Source organism: Homo sapiens, chromosome 18 (genome assembly GCF_000001405.40).
Source record: "Homo sapiens chromosome 18, GRCh38.p14 Primary Assembly".
NCBI classification, from domain to species: Eukaryota; Metazoa; Chordata; class Mammalia; order Primates; family Hominidae; genus Homo; species Homo sapiens.
The window spans coordinates 12,344,627-12,368,332 of NC_000018.10; the positions used below are offsets into that span (position 1 = coordinate 12,344,627).

General features: G+C 44.1%; 1 protein-coding gene across 2 annotated transcripts in view; it reads right to left on the reverse strand.

Moving 5' to 3' along the window:
• Positions 1-23,706, reverse strand: part of AFG3L2 (AFG3 like matrix AAA peptidase subunit 2) — a 48,284-nt gene that overhangs the window by 15,683 nt on the left and 8,895 nt on the right. For both annotated transcript variants that reach the window (XM_011525601.4, NM_006796.3), the window contains exons 4-13: positions 22,650-22,756; positions 22,339-22,491; positions 19,156-19,230; positions 15,301-15,425; positions 14,044-14,317; positions 12,068-12,205; positions 8,379-8,532; positions 6,680-6,787; positions 6,459-6,584; positions 3,647-3,757 (exon numbers count right to left, since the gene is read on the reverse strand). In XM_011525601.4, the coding sequence (XP_011523903.1) occupies positions 3,647-3,757; positions 6,459-6,584; positions 6,680-6,787; positions 8,379-8,532; positions 12,068-12,205; positions 14,044-14,317; positions 15,301-15,425; positions 19,156-19,230; positions 22,339-22,491; positions 22,650-22,756 (1,371 nt within the window). The remainder of the gene's footprint in view (positions 1-3,646; positions 3,758-6,458; positions 6,585-6,679; positions 6,788-8,378; positions 8,533-12,067; positions 12,206-14,043; positions 14,318-15,300; positions 15,426-19,155; positions 19,231-22,338; positions 22,492-22,649; positions 22,757-23,706) is intronic.

Genomic DNA, 23,706 nt, shown 5'->3' on the forward strand with positions numbered 1-23,706 from the left:
TCATGCCGCTGCACTCCAGCCTGGGCTACAGAGTAAGAATCCGTCTCAAAAAAAAAAAAAATTAAATTAAGTTAAAAATTTTTTTAAAAAATTAAATAGAATTCCCAATCAAGGTCAGAATAAAAGCAAAAGGTCAGGTTCAAAATACAACTACAGCAAAAATGCACTCACTCCCCCATCCCCAGGCCTGCTTTCACCCTAACTCTCTCACTTTTAAGCCACACACCCTGTGTTTTGGGAAACAAATAGAAATGTAAAATAAAATTCAGCATTAAGGTCATTTTAAAACACGCAAAATTACAGAAACCAAAACTCTGGAAAGGTCCTCATTGCATAGTCTAGGTATTCAGAATTATCAAATACTGGGCACGCGAAGATGGCTGCCATAAGACACTACCTGCTGTCTGTTCTGCTGGAAGGCAGAAGAGAGTCTGAGAAAGCAGGCAGCCAGTTCAACACCCGGAGCTACCTAGGTGGAGCCAGCCAGGCTGATGCTGGCGCACCCTCACCTAACCAGCCGGCCCTATGGCTCAGAGCAAGCCACAGAAGTGGCAGAGCAGACCCAGAGGGCAAACCCCAGCGACACAGGGCCCACAAGACCCGTGCTGCAGCCTGCGTCCACCACAGTGCTGACCGGACTCTAGTCTGAGCGTGATTCTTCTCTGGCCTGGATCAACGTGGGCTCTGCCCCTCACTCCATACCTCTGTGCTGTAAAAACTAACTGCGCCATTTGTACTAAAACAAATCATCACACAGTGGCAAAAGTAGTTTTGCCATGTTCATGGTAATCCACCTGAGAATTTCTCAGCTGATGTTAAGGAGACTGGAAGACAAAAACAAAAGCTGTGTTCCCAATGACACAACCCAAGACAAGCATATGCCACAGGGCGGGAAGTTACAAAACAGGAGTTAAGTCTGTCTGCCGATGAACACTTCTGGCTTACCTGTAAAAGCAAAGAAGCCTTCTTTCCCCACAGTTCACCTTAGGAGTCATTCATTTTCTCAGTGCCTATCTCACTACACAACACTGCCTGCGGGGCCCAGCAGCTGCCTCAGAGCAAAACCTGCGGCTGCGTGGCTGCCCGCTCTGCCCTGCCCTCTCTGATCACTTCTCCTTAACCTAAAAAAAAGGCATAAATACACAGTTTTCACCTGTCTCTACAGTGAATTATTATATTTTGCTTCATTCCATTCACAACTCTTACCATCTGAGGTTTACCTTTTCAATAACAAATTTATAGAATAAAAGGGCTGGTGATTCATTCATTCAACAATTCATTGTTTACTGGGCACCTATCCCCGGCAAACCACATTGCTCTACCAGCCTCTATGTCCTCACTGGAAGCCCCACTCGTCTGGTTTTGTACCCTCTACTCAGATGAACTGTCAAAAGTCACCCTAACACGCTCACTGCCAAATCCAAAGTTCCTCTTCCTCCTCCACATCCCTGTGCCTCGCCCTACTGCCAGCGCCTCATTTCCTGTCCCCTCCAGCCTACAGGTCCCTGTTACTGGCACATCTTCCTCGCTTGTCTGCTGATGCACCTTCAGTGCTTGTGGTACACCATGAGCACGGGTGACCTTGCTGACTCACCTTTCTCTCCTCTTACCAAATGTGAGCACTGGGTAACATTTCCTCTGCAACTCCCTCTCTCCCAGGAGGGTGGCTCCAAGTGTCCCCAACCGCCCATCTCACTCCACCTGGCACACCCTGGGACCACCACTGCCTGTTCCCAAGTCACACACGCATACCCCTGCCCCGGCTCACATGCAGGACAGCTCATTCTCTACGAGCCAGCTGCCTCTGCAAGCGCCCCACACTCCTGCGGTCTCTCAGTCTGTCCTCATTTTTTTTACGGCTGTCACTGGTGCTCCCCCCTGATAAGCTGTGGGCTCATGGTGCTCACAGTGATGACTGCAAGGTTCTCTGCCTCCATCCAGAGGCTTCCCTACTCTTCAAAGCCAGATTCATTCTCCTAAAATACCATCGATCATTATGTTACTCAGTGGCTCACGCCTGTAATCCGAACACTTTGGGAGGCCGAGGCAGGCAGATCACCTGAGGTCAGGAGTTCGAGATCAGCCTGGCCAACATGGTGAAACCCCATCTCTACTAAAAATACAAAAATTAGCCAGGCGTGGTGGCACGCACCTGTAATCCCAGCTGTTTGGGAGGCTGAGGGAGGAGAATTGCTTGAACTCGGAAGGTGGAGGTTGCAGTGAGCCAAGATCAAGCCACTGCACTTCAGCCTGGGGGAGAGGGCAAGACTCCATCTCAAAAAAAAAAAAAAAAAAAAAAAAGGAGTTAGAGACCAGCCTGGCCAACGTGGTGAAACCCCATCTCTACTAAAAGTACAAAAATTAGCCGGGCATGGTGGCAGGTGCCTGTAATAGCAGCTACTCGGAAAGCTGTTTATTTGAACCCTGGAGGTGGAGGTTGCAGTGAGCCGAGATTGTGCCACTGCACCCCAGCCTGGGTGACAGAATGAGACTCTGTCTCAAAAAACAAAAAAACAAAACAAAACAACAACAACAAAAAACCCACCTTAATTCAACACTGGCCATAGGACAAAATTTTAAAAGTCTTTGAGCTTAACATTCAAGACTTTCCAAAACTGACCAGTTTACTCTCCCTCAACACAGGGTAGACTGCCTCAAGTCCATCTGCCAGGCCACTTCCACGTCACACCCCAGTTTCATCCTGAGCCTGGGGCACACCCCTCCTCTTCCGTGGAACTCTGCCTGGTGCAGGGCTTCCCCTTCCTTTGAATGCCCAAGTTCTTGAATTGCTACTTGCCTTTAGGGATTAAATCAGAAGCCCTATGGAATGCTAAGAAAACGCACTGTGTGCGCTCCCCCTATGCTGACTGAGGAAGCACTTCCAGCTCTACGCCTGTTACAGTTATTTTATTTTATTTATTATTATTATTTTTTTTTTTTTTGAGACAGAGACTTACTCTGCTGCCCAGGCTGGAATGCAGTGGCACGATCTCGGCTCACCATAACCTCTGCCTCCCGGGTTCAAGCGATTCTCCTGCCTCAGCCTCCCAAGTAGCTGAGACTTCAAGTACGAGCCACCATGCCTGGCTAATCTTTGTATTTTTAGTAGAGATGGGGTTTCACTATGTTAGCCAGGCTGGTCTCAAACTCCTGACCTTGTGATCTGCCTGCCTCGGCCTCCCAAAGTGCTGGGATTACAGGCGTGAGCCACCGCACCCGGCTGTTACAGATATTTTACACCCATCACCTGTATCTAGCACAGAGCACCTCTAACTCATGTGATGAAACTTTTGTAAACAGGAAGGTTGTGAGCTTTTTAACAAACTTGATTGGTATAGTTCATGGGTAGACACCTCGCTGCTGGCTGCCTGTGCAAGCAAAGCATTCGTGAGCTGCCATCTCAAACTCACCCAGCACCATGGACCTCCATGCAGAGGGCAGGTGGCAGGGGACGGTGGCAGGAAGAAGGAGGAGAGGGAGGAGAGGCATGGGAGGGGCCATGACACCAAGAGAGCACAAATGTGGTGGGCCCCAGGGCTGAGTGGATACACTTTCTTTGCTTCTAGTTCTTGCCCAAACAGAGAAATCCCTGGCCTCAAATTCATTTTATCAGCCTTTCCACTTGAGTTATGTTCAGTTTCCTTACCACCAATCACTCGTTCAATTGCCTGTTCAAAGTGTTTCTGATTTATGGAATCTGACAGATGCCTTGCAGCAATCAACGCAGCTTCATTACAGACATTAGCAACATCAGCACCTAAAAAATGAACACAGAACAGCTTACCCACCGAAATACGCCCAAACTGATCAGTCACACAATATGGACAGCCAAATCCATAGTTAATTTTTAAATCAGCAGTACAATGAATAAAGGTTTTGTGTAAATATAATTCTGTTTTGACTCATGATAACCCTAAGCTATTCTAGCGTTTAATGTAAGCCTGGTATAATTCTGGCCCTCTGAACTAAGATGAAAGTATTAGTAGTCAATAGATAATTACAGGCAACTATTTACCTTAATAGACAATATAGCTCACATAATAGCAAACTAAGACAGCATCTAAAAATGCTCATTTAAATAACTTAGTTCTATCACCTGTGTTGGAAAAATGGCTTGCATAGATATTAGGTGAAGTACTGATATATGATGAAAAATCTAATTTTTATAATCACCTAGTACATTCAGTGAAACAACTAAATTTAAATATAGCTAAAAGCTTGTCAAATGCTTTTTAGATCCATCTCTTTAAACTAACTTTTCAGTTAAGTATATGGTAGCATAAATAAGCTACAGCATACCATCTGTGTTAAATAAACAAATATTAAAACATTATAAATTTCAAAGTCCAAAGACAAGTAAAAAGTTAGGATCCCTGGAACAAGATGATCATCTTCTGACCACACTATTGTATATAATCTTTTCATACTTCTCAAACTGTTCTTTTTTTATTTCATTTTGCGTTCAGAAGGAGAGAAATAGGGAATGGGAAAGGATCATATTTTACATTAAAAAATTATTGGAATAAGCACATGAAAAGATGCTCAACATCACTAGTCATTAGAGAAGTGCAAATCAAAACAACAGTGAGATGCCAAATCACACCAGCTAGGATGGCTGTAATAAAAAGACAGTGACGAGTGCTGGCAAGGATGTGGAGAAACTGGGACCCTCACAGGTTACTGGTGGGAATGTAAAATGGCACAGGTAATTAAAACAACCTGGCAGTTCCTCAAAAAGTTAGAGTTACCATATCACCCAGCAATTCCACTCCTAGGTATATACCAAGAGAAACACTATGACCACAAAAAATCTGTACACCGATGTTCATGGCAGCATTATTCATAATAGCCAAAAAGTGGAAACAGCCCAAATGGCCATCAACTGATGGGTGGATCAACAAGATGTGGAACAGCCAAACAATGGCACATTTACTTGGCCACAAAAAGGAATGAAGTTCTGATGCCTGCCACAATTTGAATCAATCCTGTTCATTATGTTAAGTGAACATAAACCAGGCACAAAAGACCACATGTTTTTATTTTTATTTTTTTGAGGTGGAGTTTTGCTCTTGTCACCCAGGCTGGAGTGCAATGGCGTGATCTCAGCTCACTGCAACCTCCACCTCCCAGGTTCAAGCGATTCTCCTGCTTCAGCCTCCCGAGTAGCTGGGATTACAGCACCCCCACCACCACGCCCGGCAATTTTTGTATTTTTAGTAGAGACAGGGTTTCGCCTCATTGGCCAGGCTGGTCTTGAACTCCTGACGTCAGGTGATCCACCTGCCTTGGTATCCCAAAGTGCTGGGATTACAGGTGTGAGCCACCGTACCTGGCCAAAACCACGTTTTTATATAATATGTACAGAATAAAAAAACCTAGAGAGACAGAAAGTTTGATTGTCTTGAGATGGAATCTTGCTCTCTCATCTGGGCTGGAGTGCAGTGGGGTGATTTAGGCTCACTGCAACCTCACCTCCTGGGTTCAAGCCATTCTCCTGCCTCAGCCTCCCGAACAGCTGGGATTACAGGCATGCACCACCATGCCCGGCTAATTTCTGTATTTTTAGTAGAGACAGGGTTTTGCCATGTTAGCCAGGCTGGTCTCGAACTCCTGACCTCAGGTGATCCACCTGCCTCAGACTCCCAAAGTGCTGGTATTACAGGTGTGAGCCACCGTGCCCAGCCCAAAATGTTTTAAAATTATAGTGATGGTTGTACAACCCTGTAAATATACTAGAAACCATTAATTGTACACTTTATACGGGTGATTTTTAGTTAACTTTATTTCAATAGAGCTTTTAAAAAAACGCTTAGGAATAATTCCTACAATATTTATAGAAAAAAATGATACACTGTCAAGAATTTTTCACAAAATACTCCCGAGGAAGCAGAAAGAGAAGAGGGTATAGATAAAAGTAAGGTCAGATGTGAATTAGTAATTGTTCCTGAAACTAGGTGACAGGTACAGATGGGTTCATTACACCATTTCCTCAAAATCTGTGTATGTTTGAAATTTCCCATAATAACAAAGTAAAAATAGTCGGGCACAGTGGCTCATGCCTATAATCCCAGCACTTTGGGAGGCCAAGGCAGGAGGATCACTTACAGCCAGGAGTTTCGGGCCAGCCTGTGCAACATAATAAGTAAGACCCTGTCTCCACAAAATCAAAAAATTAGCTGGGCATGGTGGTACATGCCTGTAGTCCCAGCTACAAACAAGGCTGAGACAGGAGGATCACTTGAGCCCAGAAGGTTGAGGCTACAGTGAGCTATGATTACACCACTCAGTCCATCCTGTGCAATTAAGTGAGACCCTGTCTCAAAAAAAATAAAAATGAGAATATAAACTTAGGAAGCCCACAGTAAAGAAGTGAAAAGGTAAGAAAGTAAACCGGTACCTGGTAACTGTTACTGATTTTAATATGCTTCTAAATAGGGTCCTCGTTATTTTCCACTCACCTGAAAACCCTGGAGTTAAAGATGCCAGTTTTCTTGCCAATTTATCCTTCTCCAGGGTACTGTCCAGTTTTAGCGGTCGGAGATGAACTTTGAAAATAGAAGCTCTTCCTTTTATGTCTGGTGGTCCTTTAGAAATCATTTTTAAGGAAAAGAAAATCATATTGAAACAGTCACACCTACACTCATGAGCACTGGACCTGCCCCAGCAAACATCATCTCACCAATAAAGATCTGCCTGTCGAAACGCCCCGGCCTAAGCAGCGCGGGGTCCAGGATATCTGGTCGATTGGTGCCGGCCAAAATGACGACATTTGTTGTTGTATTAAAACCTGAAAGATAACAAAAATGCAAACACTATTAAATGACAAGAGGCAGAAAGCAACAGTGCACCATCAGGAACATATGAGCACTGCAAATTCATAGCTACAGTAAACACATTTTCTATTCATTATCTAGTGTTTTTTGTTTTTTTTTTTTTTGAGACGGAGTTTCACTCCTGTTGTCCAGGCAGGAGTGCAATGGCGTGATCTCAGCTCACTGCAACCTCCGCTTCCCAGGTTCAAGCAATTCTCCTGCCTCAGCCTCCCGAGTAGCTGGGATTACAGGCATGCCCCACCACACCTGGCTAATTTTTGTATTTTTAGTAGAGATAGGGTTTCTCCATGTTGGTCAGGCTGGTCTCGAACACCTAACCTCAGGTGATCCACCCGCCTGGGCCTCCCAAAGTGCTGGGATTACAGGCGTGAACCACCGCCCCTGGCCTATCCAGTGTTTTTTAAGTTACAAACTTGAATTATTTTTTTACTATTCAGCTCGTCCTTGAAAATAATCATATATTAGACTTAAAAGTTTTACGAGTAAATTTCCTAAAGACAAATGACCAAATATTTAAATTTAACTAGAAATTTAACAGATAATGTCAATTTTAAAAATGTCTTAAAATCAGATTAAATTGGCAAAGGATGTGTCTGACACCCTGGGCCACAGGACAACCAACTGCCTATCTGAAGGCAGAGATCAACCTCTACCTCCCACCTCTTCTCCACACTCAAATGGCTCAGTGTTACTGCCCATTTCTCAGTGTAAATGCCATGGTCCCAGGCCCTTCACCCTCAGGACCCTGGCACGGCAGGAGCTCCTGGGTGAATTTCCCTCAGATGTGGTGCTCCAATGTGAACGCAACAGGGGCTGACCATCGCGGGACGGAGGAGGCTTTCTACCTCCTTATTCTGCCCCTATGCCTGGCTTCATCATTGAAGCCAGTTCAGTACTGGCACTGTGCTTCCCCTTTCTGCACAAACAACCAAGCATCCACATTTTTATCTTCCAGCAGGAAGAACACATGACATCCTGAGAAGTGGCTTTCCTAAATGAAATAAAAGCTGGCTAGCATGGAAAGACTGCTACTCTCTTAGTAAAAAAGTATTCAAAATTTGCTAAATTCACACTTGGTTAGGCTTAGATTTTCCTTATGCTTCAGAGATGGTGATGATTTAGAGAATGAGATGGTAATTCTTTTGTGACTCATTTCACCAATTCTTCTCTTATTCAAACACCAGACACAAACAGCATGTTAACACCGATATTAAGTTATGCAGGCTGCCAGGAAAAAATATTTTGCTATTATTTGTATTAGTATAAAAGGGCCTTTTAAAAGAGCTGTTTGTTTTAGGGAATGCTTTTTTTTGTTTGTGATACTCAATATTGGAATAAGGACTCTCATTTTGGGGACATGAAAGGCATAAAAAGTGCAGCTTAAACTCAGGAGACTGAGGCAGGAGGATCGCTTGAACCCAGGGGTCAGAGGATGCAGTGAGCCGAAATCACACCACTCACTTCAGCCTGGACGACAGAGTCAGACTCCATCTCAAAAAAAAAAACAAAAGTGCAGTTAAAGATACAAAAGCCTTGACCACTCACCATCCATCTCCACCAGCAGCTGGTTGAGTGTGTTCTCCTGCTCACTCTGCCCTCCAAAGTTGCCTCTTCCTCTCTTCCTTCCCACCGCATCGATTTCATCGATGAAGAGGATGCAAGGGGCATTCTTCCGAGCAAGGGCAAATAAGTCTCGGACCTTGGCAAAAACAGAAAGAGAGTCACCTGACCAGAGAATATTATGTATTCTCTGAATAAGAAATGAAATAAATCGGCCGGGCACAGTGGCTCATGCCTGTAATCCCAGCACTGTGGGAGGCCGAGGCTGGTGGATCACCTGAGGTCAGGAGTTCGAGACCAGCCTGACCAACATGGAGAAACCCCATCTCTACTAAAAATACAAAATTAGGCAGGCATGGTGGCGCGTGCCTGTGATCCCAGCTACTCAGGAGGCTGAGGCAGGAGAATCGCTTGAACCTGGGAGGCAGAGGTTGCAGTGAGCTGAGACTGAGCCATTGCACTCCTGCCTGGGCAACAAGAGCGAAATTCTGTCTCAAAAAAAAAAAAAAAAAAAAAAAATGAAATAAATCTTCAGCTTCCCGTCCCATGTGCAGACAATCTTTTTGTGATACACACTGTAAGGTACATTTTTTAAAAGAGTTACAAGTAGCAAAGCAGCAGCAAATGAGGAGTAACCTGGGTAACCGACTTAAGGTGAGCAAATCTTTCTCAGATCCCATAAATTACTGTATATGTAATAAACACTGATAATATCTGCTATTTTTGTAACATCAACAAATTAACATTACATATATACCTAAACAAAGACAACACAGTAGAGCTGTAAACTTTACATTCAGTTGAAAAGTTCAGACTTCTCTAGAGTTCACATTTCATGCCTAACACAGTTATTAACAAGCTGAGGCTACTAAGGAGTCTATGCAATCACACATATACAGTGAAGCCAAAGACCATCCAAGCCCATCAGCTCATCCCCAAAGAGGGGGTGACAGCCTTCGTCTGCCACCCACCCCACCACAGACCATCCTGATAGCACATACCCTCAGACAAACCTGCAGTCAGGAAGAGGAGGAAGAGCCACTCAGCACCTCACCATCAGTCACCTGCCCCTTCAAGGAGAATCAGAGACAACTCTCCACCTGCCCACTCCCACCCCCCCCCCCCCACTTCACTGGACAGAAGTCCAGGTCTTCCTGCCTGGATTTCTGGATGTTCATTCCTACACTGCTCTGAACACATCCCCTAAAATAACTGGTATCCTTCTCCAGCCTCCCCTCTGAATTCCAGATCTGTGACCTACAGACCCACACCTTCATAGTACATCCATCCCATCCCGGCATGAACAGGAACTCAGCCATTCCAGCAAGCCTTAAGCAGGAGTCTGCATCTTCCCCTACAGGCTAACTGGAGCTGGGGTCCACCTCACACCCCACTGCTGCTGCCAAAATAACTGCTGGAAAAGCCCCTGCTTGCTGAGGCTCAGGCCTTGTGGCAGGCACTCCACCCCACTGTGCCATGGGTCTCCCCCAGCCTGACTGCCACTAGGCATGATGTCCTCAGTGATTTCCATCCATGTGGCTCTCGGTCTCTCAGTTCCCTGACCACCCCTTCATTCACCTTTTACTTCACTCTGACAAGACCAGCACTGCCAAGGTTGCCTTTTAAACCACCATCTTCAAGTCATCTACTCTCTGAGCACCCCCTCCTATCATCTGGACCCACAGACACACTCAGGTATCTCACGCCAACTCTTTACCACTTCTCAGCTCTGCAACCCACCAGGCCCACCCTTCCCCACCACCCCCCACAGCTCCTCTCCTGTCTTCAATTTCCCCCCATCCACTTTATATCTCATGGCCCATCATCATTAACACCCAACTCCCCCTCATTCCCTATTTTTCTATGACTTATCTGCACAACAACAGCAAAGTGTGAAATAGATGTGAAGGTGAGGCCGGACAAGGTGGCTCACGCCTGTAATCCCAGCACTTTAGGAGGGCAAGGCAGGGGGTGCATCACCTGAAGTGAGGAGTTCAATACCAGCCTGGCCAACATAGTGAAACCCCATCTCTACTAAAAATACAAAAATTAGCTGGGCATGGTGGTGGGTGCCTGCAATCCCAGCTACTAGGGAGGCTGAGGCAGAATCACTTGAACCCGGGAGGCAGAGGTTATGCCGCTGCACTCCAGCCTGGGCGACAGAGCAAGACTCCATCTCAAAAAAAATTAAAAAAAAAAAAAAAGAACTCTTACAATTCAACAACCAAAAAAACCCAATTAAAAAATGAGCAAAGGATCTGAATAGACAACTCTCCAAGGAAGATATACAAATATACAAATGGCCAATAAGCATATACAAGATGTTCAACATCACTCCTCATCATGGAAATGCAAATCAAAACCACGAGATACTACATCACACCCACTAAGGTGGCTATCATCAAAGTGTTGGTAAGGGCGGGGAAACATCAGAACCCCTTACACATTGCTGGTAGGGATGGAAAATGGGCAAGTAGTTTGGAAAACAGTCTGGTGGTTCCTTAAAATGTTAAACATGGAGTTACCATTCAAAAACATGTTAAGTGAAAGAAATCAGGCATAAAAAAACCACATATTGTATAATTTCATTTACATGGAATGTCTGTACTAGGAAATTCCTTTGGGTAGTTTGCTTAGGACTCCCGATTTACATATTTTTTTTTTTTTTGAGACGAGTCTCACTCTGTCACCCAAGCTGGAGTGCAGTGGCGTGATCTCAGCTCACTGCAAGCTCTGCCTCCCAGGTTCACGCCATTCTCCTGCCTCAGCCTCCCAAGTAGCTGGGACTACAGGCGCCCGCCACCACGCATGGCTAATTTTGGTTTTGTTTTTTTAGTAGAGATGGTGTTTCACCATGTTAGCCAGGATGGTCTCGATCTCCAGACCTCCTGATCCGCCTGCCTTGGCCTCCCAAAGTGCTGGGATATCAAGTGTGAGCCACCACGCCCGGCCACGATTTCTTCTTGATGTAATGGAAATGTTGTAAAACTGATTGTGGTGATGGTTGCACAAATCTGTGAATTACTAAAAGCTACTGAACTGTATACTTTACAGGGATCAATTGTTTGGTATGTCAATTATATCTCAATAAATGTTGTCACCAAAAAAAAAAAAAATCCACAAATAAAGCAAAATTTTTTTTTTTTTTTTGAGACAGCGTCTCACTCTGTTGCCCAGGCTGGAATGCAGTGGTGTCATCTTGGTTCACTGCAACTTCTGCCGCCTGGGTTCAAGAGATTCTCCTGCCTCAGCCTCCGAAATAGCTGGGATTATAGGCATGCGCGACCACGCCTGGCTAATTTTTCTATTTTTAGTACAGACAGGGTTTCGCCATGTTGGCCAGGCTGGTCTCGAACTCCTGACTTCAAGCGTTCCACCCACTTCAGCCTTCCAAAGTGCTGGAATTACAGGCATGAGCCACCGCGCCCAGCCGTCAATTCTTTAAATTGGTCTACTATAGGTAGCAGACTGCAGTCCTAGCTGGTGCGAGGGAAGGTGGGGTGGAAGTCACAGGCCTTGCTGAAGTCTTAGGCCTGGAGGAGAGCTCAGGCCAGGGACTGGTGAGAGGTCACTCTAGCACTCTAGGGGGAAGGGCCATCTCTAGCAAGTGCCTCCATCTGTGGTGAAGTGGTGGGTGCAAGGAAGCTGTACCATCCGAACAGAATGAGACTCACTCTAGCAGGGCCCACACCAACGAACATCTCCAAAAACTCAGATCCACTAACGGTGATGAAGGGGACATTGGCTTCTCCGGCTGTGGCCTTAGCTAGCAGCGTCTTCCCAGTGCCTGGAGGACCAGTGAGAATGGCACCCTTCAGATATGAAAAAAGAAATTACATTTAATGAGAATTCCAGAAAAGTAAATTGTGTATCCACAAATAATTACAAGATATAACTCTGTCTCTAAATCTTATTGATATATATTAAATATTACTTAAACATCTGAGCTATGGTAGAACATTTTTATATTAGTAAGAATAAAAAGATTATCAAAAATAATTTTGTTTCAAAAAATTTGGTAAGAATGTGAAATTTAAAATATTTCCTTTTTTTCCTAGGGCTGATTTTTAGACCTTTAGTCTAACAGTATGTAAAGGGTGACTTGGGCTAGGAATATACTAATAAATCTGCTAAGGTTTACTTAAATAATTTAAGAAGACACCAACACCACACTCCTGATTTATGTAATTCTTTTACTCTTTACAAGTAAAATTGGTTTTTGAGCTCAAATAATTAATAAACCCAACTTCTGACTTCTACTTTCATGTACAAATCAGTACATTTTTAGCATGGTTGGACGTGCAACTTAAAACCTAACTGTGAATTTGTTTTTATTTCCACTGACTACCCACAAACAGTATCCTCTCTTATTTATAGACATACTACCACACTACCATATCCAAATACTGTGAGGAGGTAGATAATATGGTCAAATGATATTTTTTCTAGGCTTTGTAATAAAACCTTAAGGTATTTTTAAAATTTTGCTTATTTTCTTCTTTAAAAGTTTCACAAATGAAGTAGAAATCTAACGACCAATGATGAACTTAACTTCAAAGAAAGATGTGTTTGCTCAAACAATACACTTTTTTTTTTTTGAGATAGAGTTTCACTCTTGTCCAGGCTGGAGTGCAATGGCACGATCTCGGCTCACTGCAACCTCCACCTCCCAGGTTGAAGCGATTCTCCTGCCTCAGCCTCTTGAGCAGCTGGGATTACAGGCGCACAACACCATGCCCAGCTAATTTTTTGTATTTTTAGTAGAGACAGGGATTCACCATGTTGGCCAGGCTGGTCTCGAACTCCTGACCTCAGGTGATCCACCCACCTCAGCCTCCCAAAGTGCTGGGATTACAGGAGTGAGCCACTGCGCCTGGCCCTACACAACTATTATATTAAGTTGTAGAGACAGTTAGGTGTAATGCAAACGGGTACTAAGTAAGTTATAAATTCATAAAATATGACTTTTTATCTATAGAAGTAAGACATAAAAATCAAGGAAATGATTATCTTTCAAAGGATTCCTTTAAAGTAAAATTTATTCATGGACTTTTAAAAGAATTATACCTTTTTATTCATTTACTTAATAGCTGATCCATTTAACAAATATGAAGTTAATGCTCCACGCCTAGCCCTAGGGGCACCAAGCCCTGTAGGGTACAGCCCACCACTAGCACAGTGGGCAAGAGCATATTTGCTGGAAAGGGGAAGGTGATGGTGAGTGCTGTGTCCTCTCCACTGGATCCTGTGCCGTGAACCTCAGCGCCAGCACAGGTGTCCTGTCCACATACATCCCTCGAAGGGACACTGGGTGACAGCAGAGTGTGACATTGTCAGTGAGCTACAGCGGGCCTACAGTTGCTGAGAGATAGGGCATCTAAATCAGATTGGAGGGAAAAGGAAGACGAATCAAGAAAATCTTCCAAGAGGAGGTGACACAGATATTTTCAGGAATACATACACTATACAAGACACATGCACACAGAACTGACCCAAAACGATCCTCGAGTTGGGCAGAGGCTAGCCTAGTAAGCTGAGAAAGAGGAAGGACAGAAAAACAGCTATCTATAATAAGTAATCAAACTTCACAGAATTATAACTTCAGAGATCAAGAAACATTTCAAAAAGTTAATCTTAAATTTCATTTTACCTTTGGGATTTTTGCTCCTAGGTCTTGATACTGCTTTGGGTTTTTCAAGAAATTCACAAATTCCATGATCTCTAGCTTGGCCTCCTCACAGCCAGCCACATCTTTGAACTTCACATCAATTTCATCCTTTAAGACCTTGGCAGTGGTTTCTCCGACACTGAAGAGTCCGCCCATCCCTCGGCCTGTCCGGCCAATGCCAGCAGGCCCTCTTCTGATGGTGTAGAGCAAGAAGGCGATGATGAGCACCGTAGGCAGCATGCTCAGCAGAAAAGAGCTGGGGACACACAGCGCAACACGGGTTAGGACTGGCTGCTCACCTCCAGCTTTCACATGTGGTGCAAGATATCAATATAAATATATATAGCTACACCAAGGTATACCTTCTGCACTTAATACAAAGGAGGGTAACTTGCAAGTGTTCTTCAAAGGCAACAGAATTCCCAAATAAGCTCCATGGCAACCAACTCTTCGAAATAAATGGAGCATCTGCCCAGACTTTAAGTGGGGTTACTAACATGGTCTTATTAAAGACAACCCCCAAAGAAGAAGTTCTGATGAGAGAAGAATCACCTAAAAATCCTGGAAAACTGTGAAATGTAAACATAAATGATAGTTCAAAGATGGGAATGGCACTCTTTGATACAAAGGGGTTCTTTATGCTAAAATCCTACCAAAGGTCAATGCATTGAATGTTAATACCCTAAACCACTGCTTCATCAAGATAAGTATAAATGTGTACAAAAGGAATGAATCAAAAATAAAAATAAAAATAAAAATAAAGATAAAAAGCCAGGTGTGGTGGCTCACAACTGTAATCCCAGCACTTTGGGAGGCGGAGGCAGGTGGATTACCTGAAGTCAGGAGTTCAAGACCAGCCTGGCCAACATAGTGAATCCCTGCCTCTACTAGAAATACAAAAATTAGCTGGGCATGGTGGTGGAAGCCTATAATCCCAGCTACTCTGGAGACTGAGGCAGGAGAATCGCGTGAACTGGGGTGGGGACAAAGGTTGCAGTGAGTCAAGATCATACGACTGCACTACAGCCTGGGCGACAGAGCGAAACCCCACCTCAAAAAAAAAAGAAAATGAATGAGTCATGCAAAAACTAGTGAGTTACTAATAGTTTTTTAAAAATCTGGCCAAACTGATAAAGGCCTGTTTGAGAATATAATGTATAGCCCTGCACCCAGGGACAGAACACAGTGAACCACAGGCAGCACAGTCAACAGTCTACAAAATATTATATTTGAGATTACCCATCACTTTCAGCAATGTAGACAACAGGCACCCGATTTTCTCCTTCTATGCCCAATTCCTGCTGTAAAGTTTCCAGATTCCGTTCAAAGGTGTCCACACTGCCAATATTAAACCAAACGTATTGCTATAAAAACAAAAAAACAAATATCCTAAGAATGTAGTGAAACTAAAAGGTTCAATTCACTAAACGGTTCAACTTTTTAAGAATTTTCCAGAAATACTGAAAATTTATAAATTAAAGAATAAACAATAATAAAAGACTGGCTTTAATAATGGTGGTGATTAAATGTCACTCATTGAGAACACTTGGCAATTCTTGGCAAATAAGCATTTCTTTAGCAGCAATATCTCAGTGGCTCTAAAATTATAAACTCAAAAAACAGAATGAAAAACCTATTTGAAAACGTAATCCTTTTTAAAATAAATATGCATTATTTCCCTCTTCCTCTATTTCCTAGGTATTTTAGCTCCCTATTCCCAAATTTAAAACTACTGTGAAACAGGGATAAGAGCTAAAGTTTACTGGGCATGTACTAAGTACCAGGCATTGTTCTGGGCCCTTCAGATGCATTAGTTCATTCAATCCTGAGGACCATCCTAAGAAGCAGGTGCCATCACTGGGGGTGATGTTCAAAATCCGAGCACCGCACCCCACTGTGCAACTGGAACAGATGCGCCTTGCTGTGCCAGGCACTCCCTCTTTATTCTCTAGAGCTGCAGAGACCCAGAGGGCCCAGCACAGGGACACCTCAGGGGCCAGGTCAAGGCTATTCTACCAATCAGCACATAATTATTTCCTATTGTACTCGTGTCTACTGACTGAATATGAGCCCTGACTCCTGTTTCCATTCTACAGATGACAAAACTTGCTCATGGTCACACATGAAATAAGAGGCTGGGATCTGAACCCAGACAGTCTGGCTCCTGAACCAGTGTCCTAACCACAATGTCACACTGCCTTTACACAACCATGAGGACACTGATTTTAACAGCTCACATTTATGGAGTTTACTAGCTAGAAGACCCCATTTCAAGCACTGTGCATGTATTAGCTCCATTTTATAGTACAAAAAAACTTTGTTTCTCCTCTAACCTGCAATCATCTTTTTTTAGAAAAGTATTTTTTAAATCAAAACAGTAAGTCTATCATATAAAACTCATTAGAGAGGCTGGGCACAGTGGCCAGTAATCCCAGCACTTTGGGAAGCCCAGGTGGCAGATCACCTGAGGTGAGGAGTTTGAGACCCCCCTGGCCACCATGGTCTCAAACTGTCTCTACTAAAACTACAAAAATTAGCTAGGCATGGTGGCACCCACCTATAGGCCCAGCTACTTGGGAGGCATGAACCTGGGAGGCACAGGTTGCAGTGAGCCAAGATTGTGCCACTGCATTCCAGTCTGGGCAACAGAGCGAGACTCCATTTCAAAATAAAAAACAAGGCCGGGTGCAGTGGCTCACGCCTGTAATTCCAACACTTTGGGAGGCCAAGGCGGGTGGATCACAAGGTCAGGAGCTCAAGATGAGCCTGGTCAAGATGGTGAAACCCCGTCTCTACTAAAAATACAAAAAATTAGCCAGGCATGGTGGCAGGCACCAGCAATCCCAGCTACTTGGGAGGCTGAGGCAGAGAACTTCTTGAACCTGGGAGGCGGAAGTTGCAGTGAGCCAAGATCGCGCCACTGCACTCCAGCCTGGGCGACAAAGTCAGACTCAGTCTCAAAAAACAAACAAAAAAACAAAACCTCATAGAGAGCAACAAGTCATCGCATATCCTTCCAACCAGTGTTACTGAGTGAGGAACATTACTTTGGTATTTCTCTCCAAGTATCTAAAAATAAAAGATGAAGAGTAAGTTTTATATTATATAACAACATAACAGTATTTGGTAAATTATTCACCAACAAAGATACAAAATTCACATGGTTACAAAGCCCCAAAACCTGCTCAGAATAGATTAACCACAGAGGATGGAACATTCCCCAACTCAGCCCCTGCTATCAACTGGGCAATGGGCCAAACGCCTGGCTCCCATCACAGAAGCAGTGTGAACCCAGGACCAGCAGCATAGTGCCACCCAGCAGCATGTTAGAAATGCAGATTCTCAGAACACAATCTAGATAAGAACCTCTGTGGGGATGGGGTCCCAGGACTCAAGTTTTAATAGCTTTCTAGACAATTTTTATGCACACTAAAATTTGAAAACCACGACTGACTCACCCTATCTCATTTAAGCATTAAGCCCTTCTCTACTGTCACAGAGAAGGTAAGCCATCTACTAGTCAAGAGTAGAACTGATGTAAGGCTAAAGGCTGTGTGTGTGCAGCACTGCACAGTGATTAATACTGCTGCTCCATTCACAGCAAGACACTGAAAATCTGTTTCTGAAAGCTCAAAACAAGAAGTCTTTAGTAAGCAGGTAATATACATTCGCTGTAAAAACTTGGGATATGCACATACAGAAAGCAAAGACATCCATAACCCCAACATTCAGACACAAACAACATCAGCATTTCAGGCCTGTCCCTCAAGACTGTATAATGCCACCTTTACAATCTTGAAATACAATTTTGAAAAGAAATCAATATAAACCTTAACTGTAATATAAAAGAGAAATACAAAGAAAGCACTTTATATACAATGGTATGAATTTCAACACATAAATGCTTGTGCATGCCAACACTGGAAAACAAGTTCCCGCCAATGTCAAAATCACCCGTAGGGACGGCACTGCCCCCAAGGACAACTGCTCAGCCGGAAACAGAACAGGGAACAAGGATTCCCTGTTAACCCTGTGCCTGACATGGGCCGCTGGGCTATTTCTCATTTTTTGCTACGTATAGACAATGTGTGAGAGGACGTCCTTGCAGAGACATCCCACACACATCCCTACTTTCTCCCTAGGCTTCCCTCCTAGAAGCAGAGGGATGGGTGTGTGTGTGCTTCCCACAGTGCTGGAACACACGTTGCCTACCGGCCTCATGAGAAAGTGCCAACTTAATTCCCAGCACTAAAGTCTGAGGATAAAGCACGGTTATTAATAGGCATTGCATCACTAGGTAGAGGGAATGGGAAATCAAGACAATTAAAATACCTTCCCAAACACAGGGCAACACCAGAGCCCTGTGACTTTACAGACATTCTGCTATTTGCTGACATGCAATTAAACAGAGAGATATGGTCACCATCACTTCTAGTTGTCCTTAAATGTTGCCCTGTCCAGGCGGGATGGCTAGAAAATGGTTAAACACAATTATCCTAAGGGAGCCTAGCAAGTCCTGGGAGCCTCAGCTTCACCTCTCTCCCCTCCCCTCCAGAATTCCCTCAATGCATTCAGCTTGCTCTGGGGTCTCTGGAAGTATATTCCAGACTGGTTGGAGAGGAACTACAAATTATTTTTAAAATAGGAAATCAAATGGAAATTAAAACAATATAATATCACAAAATGGTTGGGAGATGGTGGGGATGCTTTTAAACTAATTTGATAAAAGCTGTCTCAAAACATAGGCAATTGAGATTTTAATTTTTTTTCCTAATCAAATAACTACTTCTCAGTCTTGAAAAGTCACAGACTATTCTGGAATACTGAAAACTGGGATTTCACTCACTGTCTTCTTAATGTAGTCAAAATGATTATCAGAAACAAAACAAAACAATGACCCAATCCCTATATCAATAATCCATACACAACATTCCCATTTCCACTGATGTTAGTAAGATCACCCCTGCCACACTGCCCAGTTCTGATATATCTGGTGCGTATAACTCCTAGAGTATGAGGCAGGTTTTCCTTTCAGCTTTAAATCTGAAAAAGTTAATTTACAACTAATTCACATCAATTAATAAAATGATTTACCCCATCAACAGGAGTTTTTCCTGGTGTAAAGGTCACTCGAACAAAACGCTTGTTGACGACTTCCAATCTGTCTACCTAGAATTTTAAAAATAAATTCACACATAAATTCACAGAAAATACTTGAGATACTCTTTTAAGCTCATTTAAAATGCATATGATGTTTCAGCCACACAAGGAAAGAATAAAGAATCAGATAAAGATGCCCCCATGTTCCCCCCTATAATTCTGCAGAAGCTCCCAGGCACATCCCCTCCCAAAGGGGGCTATGCTCTCATTTAGGGGCTGCATTGCCCAAACCACATCCTTACACTTGCACTACACATGAAGGTAACCCTACACGATATGCACATTCCCTTCTGCCTGTTTTTAACTTTAAAAATGGTCTTGTTTTATATATAAGTATTCTTCTACAACTTTCTTTTTCCCTCCAACATTGCATTTGTGAGGTTTACGCAAGCTGACACTTCCGTGCTGCAGGGTACGCCATGCTATGACCACACCCAAGGTACTGATCCATCCTCCTGTTAACAGACAGCTAGCCTGTTACACATTTCTCACAAGCAATGCTGTTACGAACATTCCCATATCTACCTTTGTGGGCACATCTTAAAAAACTTCTCCAGGAAACACACCTGTAGATAGACACACTAAGGCTGTGTTGCAGGGTATACATACCTTTGACTTTACTAGATATTGCCAAATTGCTCTCCAAAATGGCTCCCCAATTCACACTGCCATGAGCAAAACATTATTATTGCTCTATAGGACATAGCCTATCGCTCTATAGGACATACCAACATTTGGTAGTATAAGACTTCTTAATTTTTGTCACTCTATAAATATAAAATAGTTTAAGCTTTTTTTTAAATTGAATCACCTAGTTATATAGGATCCTTTTTTTATTTGTTTTTAGACAGGATTTCACTCAGGCTGGAGTGCAGTGGTACAATCATAGCTCACTGCAGCCTCAACTTCTCTGGGCACAAGAGATCCTCCCACCTCAGCTTCCTGAGTAGCTGGGACTAAGAATGCAAGCCACCACAGATGGCCAATTTTTTTACATTTCTTTGTAGAGATGGGGTCTCCCTACATTCCCCAGGCTGGTCTCGAACTCCTAGATTCAAGTGATCCTCCCACCTCAGCCTCCCAAAGTGCACAGATTACAGGTGTGAGCCACCACGGCCAGCCTACATAGGATTCTTAGTAACACTGTTAAAACACCACATCCCAAGGACTGTAACTGGTTTAGGAGCATGAGCGCTCTGGGATGTGCTTATTTCTAACTGCTTGCTTTGTCAGCAAGTCTGGAAGGCAAGAATGACAAACAAAAAGCAAAGGAGCCCCAGAGCAATCCCAGAGGGGCTGGAATCGGGGAGCAACTGTTCTTAAAGGCAGTCTCTGTCAGAGAGGAATGACTGGCACTGCTCCACCCCACAGACACCCGCTGGGGAGACAGCAGACTAATGCCAAAGAGCCAGAGGGTCAGGAGGAGCTGCAGCTATGGAGAAGCCACCTCGAGGACCTGCCATCCCAATCAGAAGGACGGCTGCAGCCCAGTCCACACGCAATGACCACTGCTTCTGAGCAGCTTCTGAGTGGGAGTCCCCACTACATCTGAGAATTACACATATAAGATCCTCACTTTCATAAGATAAACATGTTTCAAAAATCCAACTAGATAAAAGGACTCTGGAAGATGGTGGCATAAGGAAGCACCAGGAACCCATCTCCCTACGCACAGGACAATGGTACAGGCAGGATCTGTCCGATGTAAGCATTTTGGAATTCTGGAGTCCACTGAAGGTTTCCAACTTCCAGGGGAAACATAAACTGAAGTTAATCTCAGTCAACTTCAGCTCTTAGCACAGTAGCAGCTGCTCATTTGAGTAGATAACCATTTCTTACATCCTTACCTTCCTGCACAACCTTCAGAACGAATTCAAATTCTTTACACTACCTCAGTAAGTATTCATGTCGTCTTACTTTATCCATTTCATGGATGAAAACCCAAGTATTAAGAGGTTAAGGGGTTTCCCCAAGGCTACACAGCAGGCCTAATTCTGGTGTCTATCACTACACTGCATCAATTCTTTTTTTTTTTTTTTTTTTTTGAGATGGAGTCTCGCTCTGTCGCCCAGGCTGGAGTGCAGTGGTGCAATCTCGGCTCACTGCAAGCTCCGCCTCCCGGGTTCACGCCATTCTCCTGCCTCAGACTCCCAAATAGCTGGGACTACAGGCACGTGCCACCACACCCGGCTAATTTTTTGTATTTTTTAGTAGATTCGGGGGTTTCACCATGTTAGCCAGGATGGTCTCAATCTCCTGACCTCGTGATTCACCCGCCTCGGCCTCCCAAAGTGCTGGGATTACAGGCGTGACCCACTACGCCCGGCCACTGCATCAATTCTAAGACACACATTTTTCATATTTTAACATCAGAAATGGAGATCCATTTTACAATTGATGGCATGTCATAATTTCATCAGCATCTTATTAGATTTGTCTTAGCAACTTATAAAATACCATGTGTCTTACAATCAATAGCATCTTAAATATGCTGAAATATGGTCTTACTTATTTCCCATTGGTTGTGGTGAATATAGTCACACATGGGCAAGCCCAGCAGACAGTAACAAAGGCTGCTCCGCAGACAGAGAAATGGCAGGGACCACGCACCCACTTGGCCCTCCCTTAGAGCCCCATCTGCTCTGACAACACACGCTGATTAGCTGCCACGCCCACAGGTGACTAAATGTAGTAAAGACCCACAGAGGGCCCAAAGAGGCTGGCACACAACAGCACAAAGCAGGGGCAGACGCTGGCACATGATAGCACAGAGCAGGGGCAGAGGCTGGCACACGACAGCACAGAGCAGGGGCAGCTGAGGGCACGTGAGAAAAGGGCGCAAGCAGAGGACTGCCAAGACCATGGTCAGAAGCAGTGGTTCCAAAACCCAGTTCTGGGAGGTAGTGAAATAAAAGAATTTGTGGGTAAATTTGAGGACACCAGGTCAAAACACGGGTTCTCTAGTTGCAGTACTTCTCAGCATTAGAAAAATCTGAGTGAAAATAACAATTTTACAATGGACGAGCCAGGTTAACCTGCTGACTGTCACTTCTTTGGTCTAATCTGATGAATTTCACCTTTGAACCACAACAGCCACCAATCCCATAAAATACTTACTACTCCTTTTGAAAGATAGTTATTGACAAAGTCCTTCCAAGTGATTTCTCTCCCGGATCTCTTGAGCAGCAAGTAAAACATGACTCCACCCCAGAACAGAGCAGTCCAGAGGAAGAACATCCTGAAATCCTTGTCGTCCCATGGAATGTCACCCTGGGCAGAGAGGGAGACAGCTTCTGTGAAGAATGAAATTCCACAATACGATCTATGCTCTGTGAGACACAAATCCCTCCAACACTACACTAATGCCTCCCAACCTTCTCTGGGCCACCATCATAACCTCAAAATTCACACAATGTATAGCATCAAACCTTCTGAAACCTGGACCACCAGTGAGAATCATCTTTCTTGCCACCTCGTTTTCCACCGCCACCACCTCCTCCTCCAGAAGAGCGTGTGGTAGCAGCTGGCTTTGATTCTGTTCATAAACAAAGAGCACACACAGAAGCACGGCAAGGTTTTAGCTCTCTCAGCAATGTCTTCATGTATACGGTTTAATAAAAGACTCATTGCAGAATACACTGTGGCAACTGATCAGTTACTAAGTGAAGCACTATGAGAAAGAATACAAATACAAAGCTTACCAATCAGGGAGGCTCCCAAGGGCTATACTTGCATCATCTCATGAAATATGCACAATAACCCAATAACCCAAGAAATTATAGGACTGTTATACCCTTCACAGAGGGAGAAAGTATAGCTTAAGTAACTTGTTGGATGGGTGGCAGTGTTAGGGGACAGTGAATAAGTCACAGAGTTGGGATGCAAATTCCTCAGTCCCCACTCAAAGTTTAAAGTGTGTTCTGGCCACGCACGGTGGCTCATGCCTGTAATACCAGAATTTCGGGGGGCCAAAGCAGGAGAATCCCTTGAGCCCAGGAGTTCAAGACCAGACTGAGCAACAAAGCAAGACCCTGCCTCTGGCCGGGCGCGGTGGTTCACGCCTGTAATCCCAGCACTTTGGGAGGCCAAGGTGGGCGATCACCTGAGGTCGGGAGTTTGAGACCAGCCTGTTCAACATGGAGAAACCCTGTCTCTACTAAAAATACAAAATTAGCTGGGCATGGTGGCGCATGCCTGTAATCCCAGCTACTAGGGAGGCTGAGGCAGGAGAATCGCTTCAACCTGGGAGGCGGAAGTTGTGGTGAGCCAAGATCACGCCATTGCACTCCAGCCTGGGCAACAAGCGTGAAACTCCGTCTCAAAAAAAAATAAAAAATAAAAAATAAAAAAATAAAATAAAAATTAGCCAGGCATCGTAGTGTGCACCTGTGGTCCCAGCTACACAGGAGGCTGAGGCAGGAGAATCGCTTGAGTCCTAGAGTTTGAGCCTGTAGTGAGCTGTGATTGTACCACTGCACTCCAGCC